The sequence below is a fragment of the Homo sapiens genome, chromosome 17 (genome assembly GCF_000001405.40).
Source record: "Homo sapiens chromosome 17, GRCh38.p14 Primary Assembly".
In the NCBI taxonomy this organism is placed as follows: Eukaryota; Metazoa; Chordata; class Mammalia; order Primates; family Hominidae; genus Homo; species Homo sapiens.
This window is the reverse complement of record NC_000017.11, coordinates 62,789,914-62,808,408: the sequence shown is the minus strand read 5'-3', so window position 1 is coordinate 62,808,408 and position 18,495 is coordinate 62,789,914. Positions and strand designations below refer to the sequence as shown.

At 47.0% G+C, this 18,495-nt stretch overlaps 1 protein-coding gene across 16 annotated transcripts in view, besides 1 other annotated feature; it reads left to right on the top strand.

The window, feature by feature from the left end:
• Nucleotides 57-206: a silencer, noted in NCBI's record as "silent region_8813". NCBI's record gives its function as "represses an Ori minimal core promoter by ATAC-STARR-seq in GM12878 lymphoblastoid cells {active_cell/tissue: GM12878}" and the evidence as "EXISTENCE:reporter gene assay evidence [ECO:0000049][PMID:35858748]".
• The window catches only part of MARCHF10 (membrane associated ring-CH-type finger 10), a 107,001-nt gene continuing 88,600 nt past the window's right edge, over nucleotides 95-18,495 (top strand). For 9 of the 16 annotated variants that reach the window (XR_934406.4, XM_005257102.4, XM_005257100.4 and 6 more), the window contains exons 1-2: nucleotides 95-332; nucleotides 6,657-6,763. Coding sequence is in view for 14 of the 16 variants with exons in the window: in XM_005257102.4 (XP_005257159.2) it covers nucleotides 6,674-6,763 (90 nt within the window). In the remaining 2 variants the exon portion in view is untranslated. Of the gene's footprint in view, nucleotides 333-1,768; nucleotides 1,980-3,361; nucleotides 3,510-6,656; nucleotides 6,764-13,364; nucleotides 13,390-18,495 lie in introns of those variants that run through there. The other 7 variants (XM_011524436.2, NM_001100875.3, XM_005257096.3 and 4 more) reach the window with 4 other exon arrangements.

Genomic DNA, 18,495 nt, shown 5'->3' with positions numbered 1-18,495 from the left:
CCCCGCCCCGCCCCGCCCCGTGCTCTCGGCGGCTGCACCTGGTCGCGCGGGGGCGGGGAGGCGCGGTTGCTAGGGAAACCGGAGGACGCCCGGTAGCCGCCCCCACCGCCTCCGCCCCAGGCAAGGCCGGCCGGCGCCGCGGAAAGCAGCCTCGGGGAAGGAGGAGGAAGAGGGGCAGGTGTAGGGAGTGAAGAAGCAAAAAGAGGAGGAGGAAGAGGAGCTCAGGGCCGTCCCCGCGCAATTAATGGGCGGCTCCTGCGCCCTGGACCGGCCCGCCCGCCCAGCCCCTCGACCCCTGTAGCCCCGGCAGGGGAGGAAGGGCAGACCCACAGGTAACGGCCCCCTCGCCCCCGCCGCTCCGCTCCAGTTCTCCCAGGATGGGGGACAACCTTCCCTTTCGACTTACAAGATTCTGGAGGGAAACCGGGCCTGACATCCGGTGGCCTGGCCGTCCCCTCCCCTCGGCTGACCCCAGCCCCAGCATTTTTCTGTCTCAGAGGGACAGGTTTGGGGGAGACCGTGAACCTTTGCTCACTGGCACCCACATTCTTTCCTGCAGACGCCACTGGTCAGAAAAGGTATACACAGACCATGGCCCACTGGGCTTCTGAATGCGAAATGGTCGATATTGATTTTGTTTATTTTTGAGAAGGAGTCTCGCTCTGTCTCCCAGGTTGGAGTGCAGCGGTGCAGTCAGGGCTCACTGCAGCCTCGACCTCCCAGGCTCAAGCGATCCTCCCGCCTCAGCCTCCCGGTGGTAGCTGGGACCACAGGCCAACACCATGTCTGGCTAATGTTTTAAATTATTTGTAAAGAAGGGGTCTCGTTATGTTTCTCTGGCTGGATATTGTTATTAATGATGGCACTGAATTGCTTGTCAAACCTGTGACGTTTCCTCCCCCAGAGTTTCCCAATTACACGTTGAGTTTCTCCTCTCTTCTGGGCTTGATGGTCGAAATGTGACCACCTATCTCTCCTAGTTTCACAGTAAAATGAAGAGTCACCGCCAAACACAAGTCTGTTCCCCACCCTCCACCCCGCCCCCAACTCTTAAGCCAAATTGGCTGGAAGAGTTGAAAGATCTCCTTACCTTTCCCAACCAATTCCCCCTTTTTCTCTGCAGTCACAGTATTCTTAAATTGGGCCCAAATCGTAAACTTTGTTGCTTATACTCAAGACATGTTTATAAGCTAAGACTTTAAAATGCAAAGTTTTTTTTAGAGCTAAGATTTAAACAAATCCTATAATGTCTGACATTACAAATTAATCAATTGGGGAAAAGGTTGAATAAGGTCTCCTGAAATCCTTCTCCAATCACCTAATTGTGGAAAGGGAGTAATTTTCGAGCCTGATTGTCCGGTATTAACAATAGCCATTTAGATTTTATTTCAAAGCAACCTTCCGTCTAAGGAGGAGGTTAGATTGTTTACATTTCCTTTATTGCTTAACAGCATATTAACTTTAGTGATGTCTTTCTCTTATGAGAACATAGTAAGAAACCAATAAGACTTTGATTGTTATTAAGAACAGGCTCCTTCAAATCAGTTCTTTTGACAAATGTGGTCATAAAACAGAGGGATGGTACGTATGCATGACTTTTAGAGCACTGAAAAACATTCTGCAATCAGATTCTGTTCCCCTCAGTCAGGAAAACTTGGTTGGAATTCACTGGAAAATTACACTAGAGAAGAACGTGTATGTCACAAAGTTCTTAGAATATTCCCCCATTAAAATTTCACAGATATGTAGAATTTTGAGGCCAAGAAGAATTACTCGCTCTTGCTTTCAGCAAGGCAGGACCCCCTCCTTCCTTCTCCACCTGCCTCCAACTCCCTCCTCCTTTCTCTCTCCCTACTTAATATGGCTTCTTATGTTGATTTCTAAAGCACAGATTTGGCACAAGACATTATCACCAGAAAGACTTAAAACAGAAGTGTGCATAACCATGAGTGGGTTTTAAATTAAGAAGCAGTTCAAAGGTGAGCGATAGAAGAGAATACAGAGTGCTATTTTAGAAACATGCGCCTTGCTCACATTTTATTATCACCCCCACCCCAACCCTCTGTGTTTGCTGGGGAAAAATTCTTGGCTTCAAGTGGCCATCTGGTTGAGTAGGCCCACAAAGCTGAGATCCATGAATTAAGCATTATCTCATGTAGTTTTATTTCCATACTGTTATTTCTGTTTCTTGTTCATCCTGGTCAGTTTTTCAAACTGACTGAGTGCAGTATGAACTTCAAGCAAACACAGAGAATGTTTGCTTATACTGAGGTAACCCACCATCTTCTTGGTCTGACACTAATACCGTTTTCTTGGTTCCCGTAATATTTGTTTAATCTCATGAAGACTTGATGTATTTAAATAAAAAATTACATGTGGCACCACGATGTTTCTAAATATTGTAAAATACAATGTAATAGAGAGTTTATGGGAAGGAAGAGAGACTTTTGTAGGCAATTTTATTTTTATTATTTTATTATTATTATTATTATTTTTTTTTATTTTTGAGGGGATGGAGTCTCTCTCTGGAGTGCAGTGGTGCGATCTTGGCTCACTGCAACCTCCGCCTTCCAGGTTCAAGTGATTCTTCTGTCTCAGCCTCCCAAGTAGCTGGGACTACAGGAGTGCACCACCACGCCCAGCAAATTTTTGTATTTTTAGTAAAGATGGGGTTTTGCCACGTTGGCCAGGCCGATCTCGAACTCCTGACCTCAAGTGATCCACCTGCCTTGGCCTCTGTAAGTGCTGGGATTACAGGCATTTTAAAGTCCTTTATTTGGTAGGTGATTGTGAAGTCAGAGGTAACTTAGCAAGTAATTCAAAGGGTGCTACTTCCTATTTAGACAAAGTTATTTCATGCCTCTTGACTTAGAAGCCTCCTTAAATTAACCCTGCTCTAAAGCCGTGATAGATTAACCGGCTTTCTATATTAACTTTGGCAACCAAAATGTATCATCCAAGTGGACTCTGGGATGCTCCCCTTTAGTGACCATTAACATATTTTTATTATGAGTCTTTATGGTCTCTGCCTGAATAAGATTCAGACAGGCTTCTCTTTCCCACAGTAGCAGCAGGAGCTTATCCTTCTGCCTGTTTTAACACCATCGTTTTCTGAAAAGAGTGCAAAGGTAACTTCATTCTATGCAGGTACACATTCAGATGAAAAGCTAAAAGTGATCTTTTAAAACATAGTCCCATAAGTGATTATTAAAATGCTTAGAGACAAAATGTATGTTTTGTGTGTAGACTGGAAATACACATTGGATTGTAGTTTCAGATTCTGACTGTCAAAAGACCAACTTTCCATACTCCAGAGAAAATAGCCCCCAAGAGACGAGCACAAGTTTTCCCCATTGTTCAGGGCCAGATGATAAACCATGTGAGATTTCATAACTACCAGACCAGACGCTGGGTCACCATGAGTCCGGGGCGGCCTGACTCTGCCAATATCTGCACAACTGAATAAACAGGAGGAGCGAGGGAATGCCGCAGAACGTATACACCTGAAGGTAGAGATGTCGCCTGTCCCATCCTGATGTTTCCCCAGAGCCTAGCAGCCCTTGTCACACACAGCAGTTGTAAAAAATATGTGTGTGTGTGTGTGTGTAGAAATAAATGAAAGAGCTTCAGTAGACAACAAACAGGAATAGTGTGGGGGCTTTGATGACCCCATAGATGAGGGGTCGTTATTAACAGTGCCATTTTATCCCTTTGTGAGCTTAGATATCTTGGCCATAAATTTGGGCCATGCCAGTCAAAGCCAAACTTCTTGAAAGCATGATCTCCACGCCTTTGCCTCCCATTTACGCAACCTTCTGCAGCCCTCCCAGCCCCGTCACTCCAATGAATGCTCTCACCAAGGTTATTAATAGCCTCCTTTTTGAAACCCTCTCTTCTGGGCATCTCTGAAACGGCACCCACCTGGTTTCTTCCTGCCTCTCTGGCTTTTTCTTTTTTTTCCGCAGAGTTTCTCTTCAGCGGCTTGTTCTCTAAATATTCGTGTTCTTCACGAGGTTTTGTCCCTGTGTCCTCTTTCTCTTTTCGTTCCCATTCTTCCTTCAACTTCAGTTATCACAGAATGCCAGCAGTGCCCAAATCTGTACCTCTCCGGTCAGCTCCAGAGCCCTGCGTCTGACAGCACACTTGACATCTCCGTTTGCCGCACCGCAGACACTTGTGACGCCATGCTGTCTCCTCACAAAGCAGCTCCTCCTGTGTTTTCTGAAGCGAATGCTGGCACCAACCCACTGGCTGCTCAAGCCAGTAACCTGGGCATCCCTGAGACTTCCACCCCTGGTCCATTCATATAATCGCAAGCCCTGATGACTTTCTGTCCTGAGCATCCCTTGAATCCCTTGGTTAAGAGTGTGGGTACTGGAGCGAGTCTCCGGGTTCACATCCCGACTCTTCCCCTCACTAGCTCCGTAACTTTAGGGAAGTTACTTAATCCCTTTGGTCCTCAGTTTCCTCACCTGCGAAATAGAGATCTAGTGCTGGCCTCACTGCGTTGTTGAGAAGATTGAATGAGTTAATTGATGTAACTGCTTAGAACAAGGCCTATCCCTTCCAGAGGGTCGGTAAAGAGTAACTATGGGCCGGGCGCAGTAGCTTATGCCTGTAATCCCAGCACTTTGGGAGGCCAAGGTGGGCAGATCACCTGACGTCAGGAGCTCAAGATCAGTCTGGCCGATATGGTGAAACCTCGCCTCTACTAATAAAAAATTAGCCGGGTGTGGTGGCACGTGCCTGTAATCCCAGCTACTTGGGAGGCTGAAGCAGGAGAATAGCTGGAACCTGGGAGGCGGAGGTTGTGGTGAGCCGAGATAGCCCCACGGCACTCCAGCCTGGGCGACAGAGCAGGACTCCATCTCAAAAAAAAATAAAAAAGAGTAGCTATGATCCCCTCTCCCTCCCCACTGTCCTCCACCTCCTCCTCCTTTTTCTCTCCACTGTTGCTACCCGATGCTGGTTGCCATCTTATCACATCTAGATTACTATGAAATATTCCCAATGGTCTTCCCACTTCTTTGTTTTACTCTACCACCATCACCCCCACCCCATCCATTCTCATACTGCAACTGGAGGGATCTTTTTAAAATACAATTTTTTTTTTTTTAAATACAGACAGGGTCTTGCTCTGTTGCCCAGGTTAGAGTGCAGTGGCATGACCATGGCTCATTCCAGCCTCTAACTCCTGGGCTGAAGCGATCCTCCCACCTCAGCCTCTGAGTAGGTAGGACTATAGGCATGCATCACAATACCTGGCTAATTTTCAATTTTCTTTTAAATAGAAATGGTCTTGCTATATTGCCAAGGCTGATCTCAAACTCCTGGGCTCAAGTGATTCACCTCGGGAGGCGTGAGCCACTATACCCAGTGAGTTATGATCACACCACTACACTCCAGCCTGGATGGCGGAGCAAGATCTTGTCTCTAAGAAAAAGAATTAACAAATAAATAAAAACACGAATCTAATCATTTACTTCCCAGACTGGAAGCTTTCAGGAGTTTCCCATGACTCTTTGAATCATGACCTTTGAGGCCCCATGGGAGCTGGCCCCTGCCTCCCCTGCAGCCCTTCCGGGGCTGTTCCTTCCTCATCTCTGCTCCAGCTGCACTGCTTCCCTCCCGTCTGCCTCATCTGCACCTGCTCCTTCATGCCTGAAGCCTCTGCACCTGCTGTCCTCTCTGTCCCACTTCTCAGCTAGCTCACTCTGTCAAACCCAGTGTCATTGCCTAAGGAAAACCTTGCCTGACCCCTCCAGACCAGGTTATGCCCTCCCATAATAACGCTCTCAAAGAGCCGCATAGTTCTGCTTCAGAGGGCCTATCATAGTTAGGATTCACTTGCTCAAAGTCAGTCTCGCACCCTGGATTATAAGCAACACAGGCCAGGTGCGGTGGCTCACACCTATAATCCCAGCACTTCGGGAGGCTGAGGCGAGTGAATCACCTGAGGTCAGGAACTCGAGACCAGCCCGGCCAACACGATGAAACCCTGTCTCTACTAAAAATACAAAAATTAGCCAGGCGTGGTGGCAGGTGCCTGTAATCCCAGCTACTAGGGAGGCTGAGGCAAGAGAATCGCTTGAACCCGGGAGGCGGAGGTTGCAGTGAGCTGAGACTGGCCATTGCACTCCAGCCTGAGCAACAAATGCAAAACTCCGTCTCAGAAAAAAGAAAAAAAGAGCAAAGATGAGGGTCGTGTCTGCTTTGCTGCTTGCTATACTCCAGTGTCCAGCACAGTCCCTGGATGGAAATAACGGTGCAATCATTGTTGCATAAATGAATTTAAGTAACCAGGGGCCTGTAACTTTGGTCACTGCTTATTTAGCTAGGCTCTCAGGTTTTCCTTTTTGTCATGCTCTAGAACCGAATCAGGTGTCTGTCAATCTAACTCCCTCTGAGTAACCAGGACAGGATCACTGAAGTGCTTGATGAAGGTGGCTGCATTATTTATGCCTGGAACAGGAGGACTGTAAGGGCATCAACAGCAACACAAGAAGTCCCTTCAGCTTGAAAGGAGCATCTGTGCCTTTCAAACAAGGGAAATTAGATGAATACACAAATAAAAGCAATTAGATGAAAATAAATCCAAATACGGCATCACGACAAAGGACTCTAACACAGCACATTTGTTTATCTTTTCTGTGCAGGTCAGGGATTAGGAATCATGTTGCATGACGCAAGGGACAGGCAGAAGTTCTTCAGCGATGTTCAGTATCTGCGGGACATGCAGCATAAGGTGGACTCTGAGTATCAGGTAATTGCAGAAAGCAAGAATGGTCTTCTGCCTTCTCTTGCAGTATTTAGAGAGAATTCAGAATACAGCATCAACGTATGATAAGCAGTAAAAGTTTTCTAAAATCCAAACCCACCGATTAGGTATGTAACTAGCAAAAGCCACTTCACCTCTCTGTATCCTCGTCTGTAAAAAAAAAAAAAAAAACGGGGATAGCTGGGCACGGTGGCTCATGCCTGTAATCCCAGCACTTTGGGAGGCCGAGGCGGGCGGATCATGAGGTCAGGAGATCGAGACCATCCTGGCTAACACAGTGAAACCCTGTCTCTACAAAAAATACAAAAAATTAGCCAGGCGTGGTGGCACTGTAGTCCCAGCTACTCGGGAGGCTGAGGCAGGAGAATCGCTTGAACCCGGGAGGCAGAGGTTGCAGTAAGCCGAGATCGCGCCACTGCACTTTAGCCTGGGCAACACAGCGAGACTCCTCCGTCTCAAAAACAAACAAACAAAAACAAAAAAACGAGGATAATGGTTGTATCCACTTCTAGTATTATCATGAAAATGAAATGAAATAAACACTGTAAAAGTACTTCCCTCAGTTTTCGGCATGGAGCCCTTGTCCACCAGTGGCATTAGGGCTTAAATTTGACAAACCAACTGAGAAGGAAAGAAAACATGAAAGAGTTAACTGGGTCGCCCTACCATTTGTAAAATAACACGCCCTTCGTTGTCATCCCCACCAGAAGAAAGGTGGTTTGCACATTTTACAATGAGCTAACTGCTGGTCCCCCTAGTTACAGTGTTTACGTGCAAAACCAAAACACACAGGGAGCCTGAGGAATCCTGAGGTTGCAGTCACCCGGAGCTGGCATAGGACAAACTTGCCAGACTAGGTTGTGGGATCCTGGGAGCAGGTAAAAAGTGTCAGTCATCCCACCAGAGGTGGGACCTCAGCCCTTGCCAATCAGGAAGGCACGTCCTCAGCCTGGGCTGAGGATTGAAAAGCGCTCCTTCCCTGAGGAAAACACAGAACTGCTGTTATCAGGTTTTTCCCCTTCTTAGCAATTTCAAATATAACTAAAGCTCCCAGGTCACCAAGGAAACCAGACCTGTCTCAGTAACCTGATTTCACCTGTATAATACGGCTTAGCTTTAGGGCTGGAAACAGAGTCAGCAATTTCCTCCCACAACGTGCCAACCCACGTATAAGAAGACGAGAAAATCGAGGGCATTTCTGCAAAATAAATAAGAACATAAACATCCACACTGGTCGCCCTGGGAGTCTAACTGCTTTTCACAAAGATGCCTCTGCCACCCGGCTCCTGTTTGAAATTGTCTCCAGAACAGGCATGTAGGAAAAAATCAATCTTATAGTTTTATGGTCCTTGTTGAAGAAAATCACACAACTGTGTGGCTTTGAGCCGTTGCCGTTTTATTTTCTAATCTCCATTGGGCTCTTAACACTGCCTTTTCATTCATTCATTCAGCCAATATCTATTTGGTGCCTACTATGTGCTGAACAAAGCCTCTGTTCTCCTGGAATTCTTATTCTAAGATTAAGAGGGGGAAGGACTTACACAAGTAGAAATGTGTAAGGTAGTTTCAGTTATTGATAAATACAATGAGGAAAATAAAACAGGTTAAGGGGTTGGAGGCGGTGATCCCTTAGAAGCAGGGGAGGTCTCTTTGAGGAAGTGACACTTGACTGTTGAGGTGAATTATGGGAAAGATCCCCCCAGAGCTTCCCAATCGGAAGGAAAGAGACAGTGCAAAGGCCCTGAGGCAGGAACCAGCCCGGATGAAACCAAAGTTAGCCAGAGGGGCTGGAACACATGAACCCAGGGAAAGTACGGAAGTGTCACACTGGGTCTCACAGAACATAGCTTGGCATTTAGGTTTTATTCTTTTTTTTTTTTTTTTGAGACAGAGTTGTGCTCTTGTTGCCCAGGCTGGAGTGCAGTGGCACGATCTTGGCTCATCGCAACCTCTGCCTCCTGGGTTCAAGCGATTCTCCTGCCTCCGCGTCCCAAGTAGCTGGGATTCAGGCATGCGCCAACACACCTGGCTAATTTTGTATTTTTAGTAGAGACGGGGTTTCTCCATGTTGGTCAGGCTGGTCTCAAACTCCCGACCTCAGGTGATCTGCCCGCCTCGGCCTCCCAAAGTGCTGGGATCACATGCATAAGCCACTGTGTCTGGCCCAATTTTATTCTTATCACTGTGAGAATTATTGGATGGTTTAAGTGGGGGAATAGTATGATCTGATTTATGTTGTATTAAGGGTCACTCTGGCTGCGGTATATGGAAAGGACTAGAAGGGGCAAGAGAAGAAGCGGGAAAACTTGTAAGGAAACTATGATAGAAATTCAGGAGAGAGATTCTGGTGACTTGGCCCGGGGTGGTAGGAGTGGAGGTGGTGAGAAGTGGCCCGGCCCAGGAAATAGAAGCAGAACAGACATCTTGCTGATAGATGGAGAGGCGGAGTGAGGGAAAGAAAAGAATGAAGGATGACTCACGTCAACACATTTACTTGTCCATCAGCTCCCTCTGTTATCATCACGATTTTAAACCTTTTCACTCTTTTCAAACCTCCAACCTCCATAGTTTCAACAAAGAACTCCCTGCCGGGTTTCACACACTCACACAAAACAAAATGAAGACCCCAAGGCCGGCAGGTGAGAACCCACTCAGCCTCCTCCCATTCGCTCCAGGCTACACACCATCTAGTCCCCACATCTTGGAGGATGAAGTGACCCTCTTCCTGCTGGTACCCAGCCTGAGATCCTGATTTGAGGCCCTCTGCTCTCCAGCCCCTGCCATCCACAGGCCTCTCATTGGTAGCTTTGACATTTCCTTTCTTGTTGGCTCAGTCCACGAACGTGCTTAAGTCTCTCCCATCTTAAGAACAAAAGAGCAAAGCTTTCTGTAGACATCGTGTCCTTCTCTAGCTGCAGCGCTGGCTTCTTCCTGCCTCATCCCAGATGTCCCCAAACAGCCAGCTCCATTTCTGTCTCTGCTTCCTGCCCTCCCATGGATTCCCTGGCCTGCTTCAGCCCGACCATCACCTCCGCTCTCCTCTCCTGAAATTCTTCTGCTAACGTCAGTAACCAAATTCACCGGGCTCCTTCCCAGTCTTTATTTTCTGCAGTCTTAACTACCTTTGACGTTATTACTCCTTTCTTCTCAAACATGACTCTTTGGCTTTCTTTTTTTTTTTTTTTTTTAATGTTTCCCAGGCTGGTCTCGAACTCCTGGCCTCAGGTCATCCTCCTGTCTCAGCCTCCCAAAGTGCTGGGATTATAGGCATGAGCCTCCATATCCAGCCTCCTTTGGCTCTCTGACATCACACTCTCTTGATTTTCTTCCTGTTTCTCTCACATTTTTCTCCATTTTCTTTTCTATGTACTCTTCATCTCCCTGGCTCTCAAATGTTAATTTCCCTAGGGTTCCATCTCAGCCCAATTTTTTTCTAGTTCACAAGGTCACTGTGACTCATCTCATCCTCTGCTATGGTTCAACCACCACTTTATACTAAGACTTGTAATCCTGGGTCTCCCCAGAGCATCAGAGTCATATGTGTATTTCCCAGTTGGCTATGTCTACCTGGATGTCACACAGGCAGCTGAAATCAAATATGTCCATGGTTGTATCCCCATGTCCATCTCCCTGCTGCCCCTCCTATGGTCTAAGCCTTCCCTGTCTCTTCCTCTCCCTCCTCATCCCCATCCCACCAGTTACCAAGTCCTGCCAAGTATACCTAAGAACTCACGCACTTGTGCCTTCCTTTTTACCCTGTTGCCACCCCATGGTTCCAACTTCCCTAATTTCTGTCCAAGACCATTATAATATCCTTATAACTGGCCTCCTAGCATCCAGTCCTGCCATCTGTCAGACTGTTTCCTTGAAACCTATCTAAAATGTAAATGTGGCGATACCATTGGAATATAGGATACTCCTCTGTGCTTTCCCTCACTTAAAGGCAGGCCCAAGACTCAAAACCTAAGCAAAACCAACCTACACTTCACCACTTTGCCAACGTCTTCTTCCCCCTTCTTCACCTTGCTCCCCTGGGCAAAGGTGGTGAGGATCATAGTTTTAATTTAGAACTAAAGGGAATCTCTGTGCTCATACACATAGTAGCTGTTTTTAAAAACAACTTTACTGGTCAGGTGTGGTGGCTCACGCCTGTAATCCCAGCACTTTGGGAGGCCAAGGCAGGCAGATCACAAGGTCAGGAGTTCAAAACCAGCCTGGCCAACATCGTGAAACCCCGTCTCTACTAAAAATACAAAAAATTAGCTGGGCGTGGTGTCAGGCACCTGTAATCCCAGCTACTCAGGAGGCTGAGGCAGGAGAATCGCTTGAACCCGGGAGGCGGAGGTTGCAGTGAGCCAAGATAGTGCCACTCTACTCCAGCCTGGGCAACAAGAGTGAAACTCGGTCTCAAAAAAAAAATTATATATCATAAAATTCAACCTGTTTTAAGTGTACAGTTTAAAGACTTTTAGTAAATTTACCAAGTTTGCAGCCATAACTATCATAACTTTAGAATATTTCCACCACTCTAGTACTGCAGCACTCTTTTCATGCTTCCTGCACAGAGCTTATGAAACTGCATTGCAAATTGTCTTTTTTTCTCCCTCTTTTTTTTGAGACATGGTCTTGCTCTGTTGTCCAGGTGGGGGTGCAGTGGTTGCCCAGGTCGGGGTGCAGTGGTGCAGTCACAACTGACTGCAGCCTCAACCTCTCAGCCTCAAGTTATCCTCCCACCTCAGCCTCCTGAGTGGCTGGAACCACAAGCATGTGCTACCACACCCAGCTACATTTTTTGTATTTTTATAGAGACACGGGGGTCTCACCATGTTGGCCAGGCTGGTATCGAACTCCTGGGCTCAAGTGATCCACCCACCTTGGCCTCTCAAAGTGCTGGGATTACAGGCGTGAGCCACCGCACCCGGCTGCACATTGTCTTTTGTGTGACATCCTCTCAACCTGGACCACGACTTCTTAAGGGCAGGGGCTGAGTCTCCCTCTTCAATGTTGAACCAATTGCCTTGACATTCATGAAAGCCTGTGTTGCCTAACTTGGCTATCAACTAAGCTTGTCAGACTTAGAGCCAGCTGACTTGTGACTATTCCTAAAAGTCAAATCCACTCTCATTGAGCATTTTCAAAACCACTTACCACAAGGTCTGCAAAAAATAAATCTGGTTGTCTTTAAGATGTTCTAAATATCATTGAAGTAAGTAAATGGCAACCCACAGTAACTGCTTTGCAGGGAGCAGCAAATTTTTTTTGTTATATTATTAATCTATCCCTTGCCTGGTTCCAGAAAGAATTTAAAGTAGTGGTTTAAGAATCAATTGCATGATGTAGGCCGGGCGCAGTGGCTCATGCCTGTAATCCCAGCACTTGGGGAGGCAGAGGCGGGTGGATCATTTGAGGCCAGGAGTTTGAGATCAGCCTGGCTAAATGTCTCTACTAAAAATACAAAAACTAGACGGGTGTGGTGGTGCACACCTGTAATCCAGCTACTCGGGAGACTGAGGCAGGAGAATAGCTTGAACTCAGGAGGCGGAGGTTGCGGTGAGCCGAGATGACGCCACTGCACTCCAGCCTCAGCGACAGAGTAAGACTCTGTCTCAAAAAAAAAAAAAAGGATCAATTGCATGACGTTAGTGACCCCTCAGTAACTCAGCTCATAGACAGCCCATGTGTATTTAGATAATTGGCTATGGTGACTTTGTGGTGGGTGGATATTGGCACTCTGGATCATCAATGAGTTTGGCCAGTGACTTCCTATGGAAATCCCAGCTTTCACTCCAGGTCCAGTGTGACCAGGGATTCCCCATTTCAGGGCATACAAACAGGCTAAGACCTAATAACTAGACACGAATCCCAAATCATCTGCATTTGGTGTGTGTCCCTTCCTGTACTCCACTCACCTTTAATGAACTGGCTCCAGTTGAAGGCTTTAGAAACCTCTTGTGTAAACCATTCCTGCTACAGCCTAAAATACGCTAAGTGTTGGTATGCAGCAAATTCTCAGTGTCTTTGCAGGTCTCTGTGCTAGCAGCAAGAGAGGAGGGCTAACCTCGCCCTGAGTTATTTTGATACTACTCCTTTCAGTGGTTGGGTGGGACCCTTTTGAGAAAACAAGAGGAAATAAACATCTATTTGGCATATTGCATGCTATTTCAGAATCTGGTAACTAGTATATAATTATATGCCATCTCAGAATTTGGCTTTATTGCTTCAAGGATTTTCATGCTGCCTAGCTTCTTTTTTTTTTTTTTTTTTTTTTTTTTTTGATCAAATGATTTATGTAACTGGAGGCAGAATTTAGCCATTAATGTCCACTGGAAAGCTGAAGGCAAAGATTACACTTGGCATTTCAGAGTGATTTTCTATACTCTATTAAATGTGTTCAAACTGGTTTCATTTCATGTCACTTATTCATCTTGATTCTTTAAAGTGCAAATCAACTAAATATCTCAATATACATGTGTTCAAGGACACGATAGGCGACTTTATAGCGGGTGGCAAGGGTTTGGAGTTGTCCACTCAGGGAGCTGGAATGGGGATAAATCAACTTTTCTTCCCATAGGGACGGAGGTGAGGGATTCTCCTCCTGGCTCACCTTTGAGGTATGTGTTGCTCTACTCTTCACAGCCAAAACAGGAAAAAAAACTAGCTGGAGGGGAATACTATCTCAAACTGTTTTTATGCCTTTGATTTCTTGACCTCTTAAAATTAATGAACTTTAATAATGTCACCGAGGACAATTAAAATGCCAGACTCTGGGGTATGCAAGTCAGATCGCAAGAACAACAACAAAAAGAAACCAACTGAAGGAAGTGGCAACTCCCACTTCTCAAAGTGCATCCTGAGATAGAGGAACAGATGCCATTCTGGCTGGAGATGTAAAGTCGGGTCGTGGTTCTGATGGCTTTATACCAGAATTATGAGGCTGGGAAGTGTTCCTGGGGCACATGGCTTCTGAAGTCACATGATGACTGGAGGGATCAGATTGATAATGAAAGAAACAAAAGGAACTTTGAGCACAACTATGGACTCAGAGAGCTGTAATGTCGAAGAGAAGCGGCTTCATTGTGACCCTGAATGACTGAGAGCAGGAGCTGCTCAGTTGGCTGGCTGGGGTATAGGAAACAGACCTCTACTTACAGGGCAGAAAAACAAGGATGAACCTCAGGACTAGACAGAAAGATTCTCTCTTCTTCTGCAACCAACATCAGAGTCATATGCTTTGGCAAAGGCTGACTTTAGAAATATAGAAGTAAACCAGGAAATGGGATTGAGAACAGCAGTTAAAAGGCTGTGACAGCTGCTGGTGGTGATGGGAGTGGCAGTGGTGGTGGAGGCAGCAGTGGTAATGGTGGGGAGGTGAGATGGGTGGTGGGGTTTGGTGGTGATGTGGTGGTGGTGGAGGTGGTAGTGGTGGTGGTGGTGATGGTTGTGATGGTGTTTGTGGTGGTGGTGGTGATGGAGGTGGTGGTGGTGACTGTTTTGGTGGTGGTGATGGAGGTGGTGGTGGTGGTTGATGGGGGTGGTGGCGATGGTTGTGGTGGTGGTGGTGATGGAGGTGGTGATGGTGGTTATGGAGATGTGATGGAAATGGTAGTGATGGTGGTGATGGTGGTCATGATGGAGGTGGTGGTGGTGGTGATGGAAGTGGTGGTGGTGGTTGATGGATGTAGTGGTGGTTGTGGTTGATAGAGGTGGTGGTGGTGGTGATGATGGAGGTGGTGGTTGATGGATGTGGTGGTGGTGGTGGTTGATGGACGTGGTAGTGGTGGTGATGGAGGTGTTGGTGGTGATGGAGGTGTTGGTGGTGGTCGATGGAGGTGGTGGTAATGGTTGTGGTGCTGATGGAGGTGGTGGTGGTGATGGAGGTGGTGGTGGTTGATGGAGGCGGTGGTGGTGATGGAGATGATGGTGGTGGTGGTAATGGTTGTGGTGGTGGTGATGGAGGTGGTGGTGGTTGATGGAGGTGTGATGGTGGTGGTTGATGGGGTTGTGGTGGTGGAGGTGGTGGTGGTGATAGAGGTGGTGGTGGGTGGTGATGGTTGTGGTGGTGGTGGAGGTGGTGGTGGCAGTGGAGGTGGTGGTGGTGGTGATGGAGGTGGTGGTGGTGGTGATGGAGGTGGTGGTGGTGATGGAGGTGGTGGTGATGGTGGTGGTGATGGTGGTGGTGATGGTGGTGATGGTTGTGGTGGTAGTGATGGAGGTGATGGTGGTGGTGATGGAGGTCGTGGTGGTAATGGAGGTGGTGGTGGTTGATGGAGGTGTGATGGTGGTGGTTGATGGTGTTTGTGGTGGTGGTGGAGGTGGTGGTGGTGATGGAGGTGGTGGTGGTGGGTGGTGATGGTTGTGGTGGTGGTGGGTGGTGATAGTTGTGGTGGTGGTGGAGGTGGTGGTGGCAGTGGAGGTGGTGGTGGTGGTGGTGGTGATGGAGGTGGTGGTGGTAGTGATGGAGGTGGTGGTGGTGATGGTGGTGGTGATGGTGGTGATGGTTGTGGTGATAGTGATGGAGGTGATGGTGGTGGTGGTAATGGAGGTGGTGGTGGTGATGGAGGTGTTGGTAGTGATGGAGGCGTTGGTGGTAGTTGATGGAGGTGGTGGTGATGGTTGTGGTGGTGGTGATGGAGGTGGTGGTAGTGATGGAGGTGGTGGTGGTTGATGGAGGCAGCAGTGGTGAGGGAGATGATGGTGGTGGTGGTAATGGTTGTGGTGGTGGTGATGGAGGTGGTGGTGGTTGATGGAGGGGATGGTGATGGGTGGTGATGGTTGTGGTGGTGGTGGAGGTGGTGGTGGCAGTGGAGGTGGTGGTGGTGGTGATGGAGGTGGTGGTGGTGATGGAGGTGGTGGTGGTAGTGATGGAGGTGGTGGTGGTGATGGAGGTGGTGGTGGTGATGGTGGTGGTGGTGGTGATGGTTGTAGTGATGGAGGTGATGGTGGTGATGGAGGTGGTGGTGGTGGTGGTTGATGGTTGTGTTGGTGATGGTTGTGGTGGTGGTGATGGAGGCGTTGGTGGTTGATGGAGGTGGTGGTGGTGGGTGGTGATGGTTGTGGTGGTGATGGAGGTGGTGGTGGTGGTGCAGGTGGTGGTGGTGATGGAGATGGTGATGGAAATGGTAGTCATGGTGGTGGTGGTGATGGTGATGGTGTTAGTAGGCACCCTTGATTGAACACTCCCCAAGGGCCAGCCATTATTAACATATCACCAACTGTATGCCTTGTTGATGTTAACATATCAACAATCTGCAACTTCCTCTTACAGATGAGGAAAGCAAGAATCAATGGCATTAGTCAGCTCGCCCAAGGTCACTATGTTAGAAAGTGGCAGAGCTGGGGATTGTCGTGTTTACCAGGATTGAGTTACAATGAGTCACAAAACCCACGTCATCCCCACAGACATTGATGCACATTCTGCATTTTGCCCCCACAGTGGTACCTTCTGTACAAAAGGCAGCCCGACTACGTATGCTGTAGTCAGGGGGACGCACTAGGGGGGTGGGGGGTCAACACCAATGGAGGAGGGAAGGAAGAAGCCCTGATCTTCCCAGAAGGAAGAAATAAAAAGTTACCTGAAGCCTTCAATTTCAAGACTGCCCTCGGCCAGTTTTGCCACATGATCAGAGACTTATTTATAGCCATCCGAATCCTGACACGTGCAATTGAAAGGGGAGAATGTTCTTAAAGTCTAGGGTAAGGGAAGCCGCTATTGGTTATGAATTACAAATACATTCCTCTCCTGACCCATGGATTCTGTCCTCCCCTGCCCAGTCACCTTAGGCTCCCCCCACCCGCCCCGCACAAAAACAACATCAACAGCTGACAGAAAATCATTTACAATTACAAATACAAAGAAAACCAGCCCTTGCAGGGAATAAGGCAAAGGTTCTTGCTGCTTCTACGACTGTGAGTCTGGATATTTGCTCTGCCCCTGTGTTCCTTCTCAGCAAAGCTATAACTTTGAGAGGATTCATGTTTGATTTACGTAGAAAGATTGCTTGGCTCTGTCAAGATAAAAGTTTAAGTACCTGCCTTGCCACTGGTTTGTTCTGCTCCTCTGTAAAAAGAGGAACAAGGAACTAGAGGGAAAAAATTTTTTTCAACTTTGCAAACCAATCTATTCTTCCTCCCCTTTTGGTAAAGAAATATTTAAGTCGTATGCATTCTTGGAGAGAATTTTCAAAAAACACTCAGCCCACAAGAATTCTGTTCATCCCACAAAATCTGCCTTGGTCCTGGTGCATTTGCTAACACTGCCTCCTCCACTTTCAGCCCATCAGCATTTTCTTCTTTTGCCTTTAATACCAGTAGGTTAGGACGGCACAGACATCTGCCCCTTTCGGAAACAACACTCCACGCCAGTGCTCTTTCCAAACACAAGCTCCCATTTGAAGTCCTTGTAAAAGGATTGGAACAACAAAGGCACACGTTTAGCTGAACTTCGTTACACTTTCCAGCCGACTCCCTTTAGGATTACCTGGGTTTCTCTATGATTGGGTGTTTTTTGTTTGTTTTGTTTAACTTATTATGGTTACTGCCTAGTGTTCTTTGGTTTTTCTTGCTTAAATTATTAAAACAAACAGAGTCCAGTGTTTATTATGATGACTTACTATCTATGTGGCATAGTTTTTGAAAAGAAGATTAACTGTGGGACAGATGTTGTCCCTTCCCAAGCAAGTTGGAGTGAAGCTGCATCTCTCTCCCCAGAATCTAGGATTCCACTTCCTGCAGGTGACCACTTGGCTGCTGTGATGAGCCCGGAGGCTAGAGTGTCACCTGCAATTCAGACATAAAGCACGATGTGAATAACTGTCCCAATTCCAAGGAGTAAATGTTTTGTTAGTATCGGGTCATTTCTATTCTTAACCTTACAGCATAATGTCAGGCTTACTCATGGCGTGAAATTCTGGTAAGTCCTACTGCATCACGGAAGGAGATGCTTTTTCTAACAGAGGGCGTGAAACGTGCTGAAGGAATCTTTCCTTTCTCAACCCAGCCAGGAAGGGCAGTTGTCAGGCCTAGTTTACAAACAATATTGTTGGTCTTTACTTCAAATTCATTTTCTATGACAGTGGATAATTTGGCCCTGGCAAGGCAAAGTTGAATTGGGCTACTGGATCTGCAAGTATAGAAACATTCCAAAAAAGTTTTACTGGGCTGGGTGTGGCGGCTCATGCCTGTAATCTCAGCACTTTGGGAGGCTGAGGCAGGCCGATCACCTGAGGTCAGGAGTTCAAGACCAGCCTGGCCAACATGGCAAAACCCTGTCTCTACTAAAAATACAAAAATTGGCTGGGCGTGGTGGCACACTCCTGTAACCCCAGCTACTTGGGAGGCTAAGGCAGGAGAATCGCTTGAACCAGGGCGGTGGAGGTTGCAGTGAGCCAAGATCGTGCCACTGCACTGCAGCCTGGGTGACAGAGCGAGACTCCATCTTGGGGGGAAAAAAAAAACTTTTACTATTTTGAGGTACTTAAAATCAGTTGAAATTTCCATAGTACATGATATCCTCAGGTTTGTTCAGTCCTAGTACTACAGGAGAAATATTTTGGTACCAGATTTTATTTTAATTTTGTTAAGAAACATGGGGAATTATTTTCATTGGTAATTTTATTTTTCTTATTTTGCACTTAGGGATTGATATTTTCCTCCAAAGCAAAAATGCAATTCAACTAAAATTATTATTATTAATTTTTTGAGACAGACTCTTGCTCTGT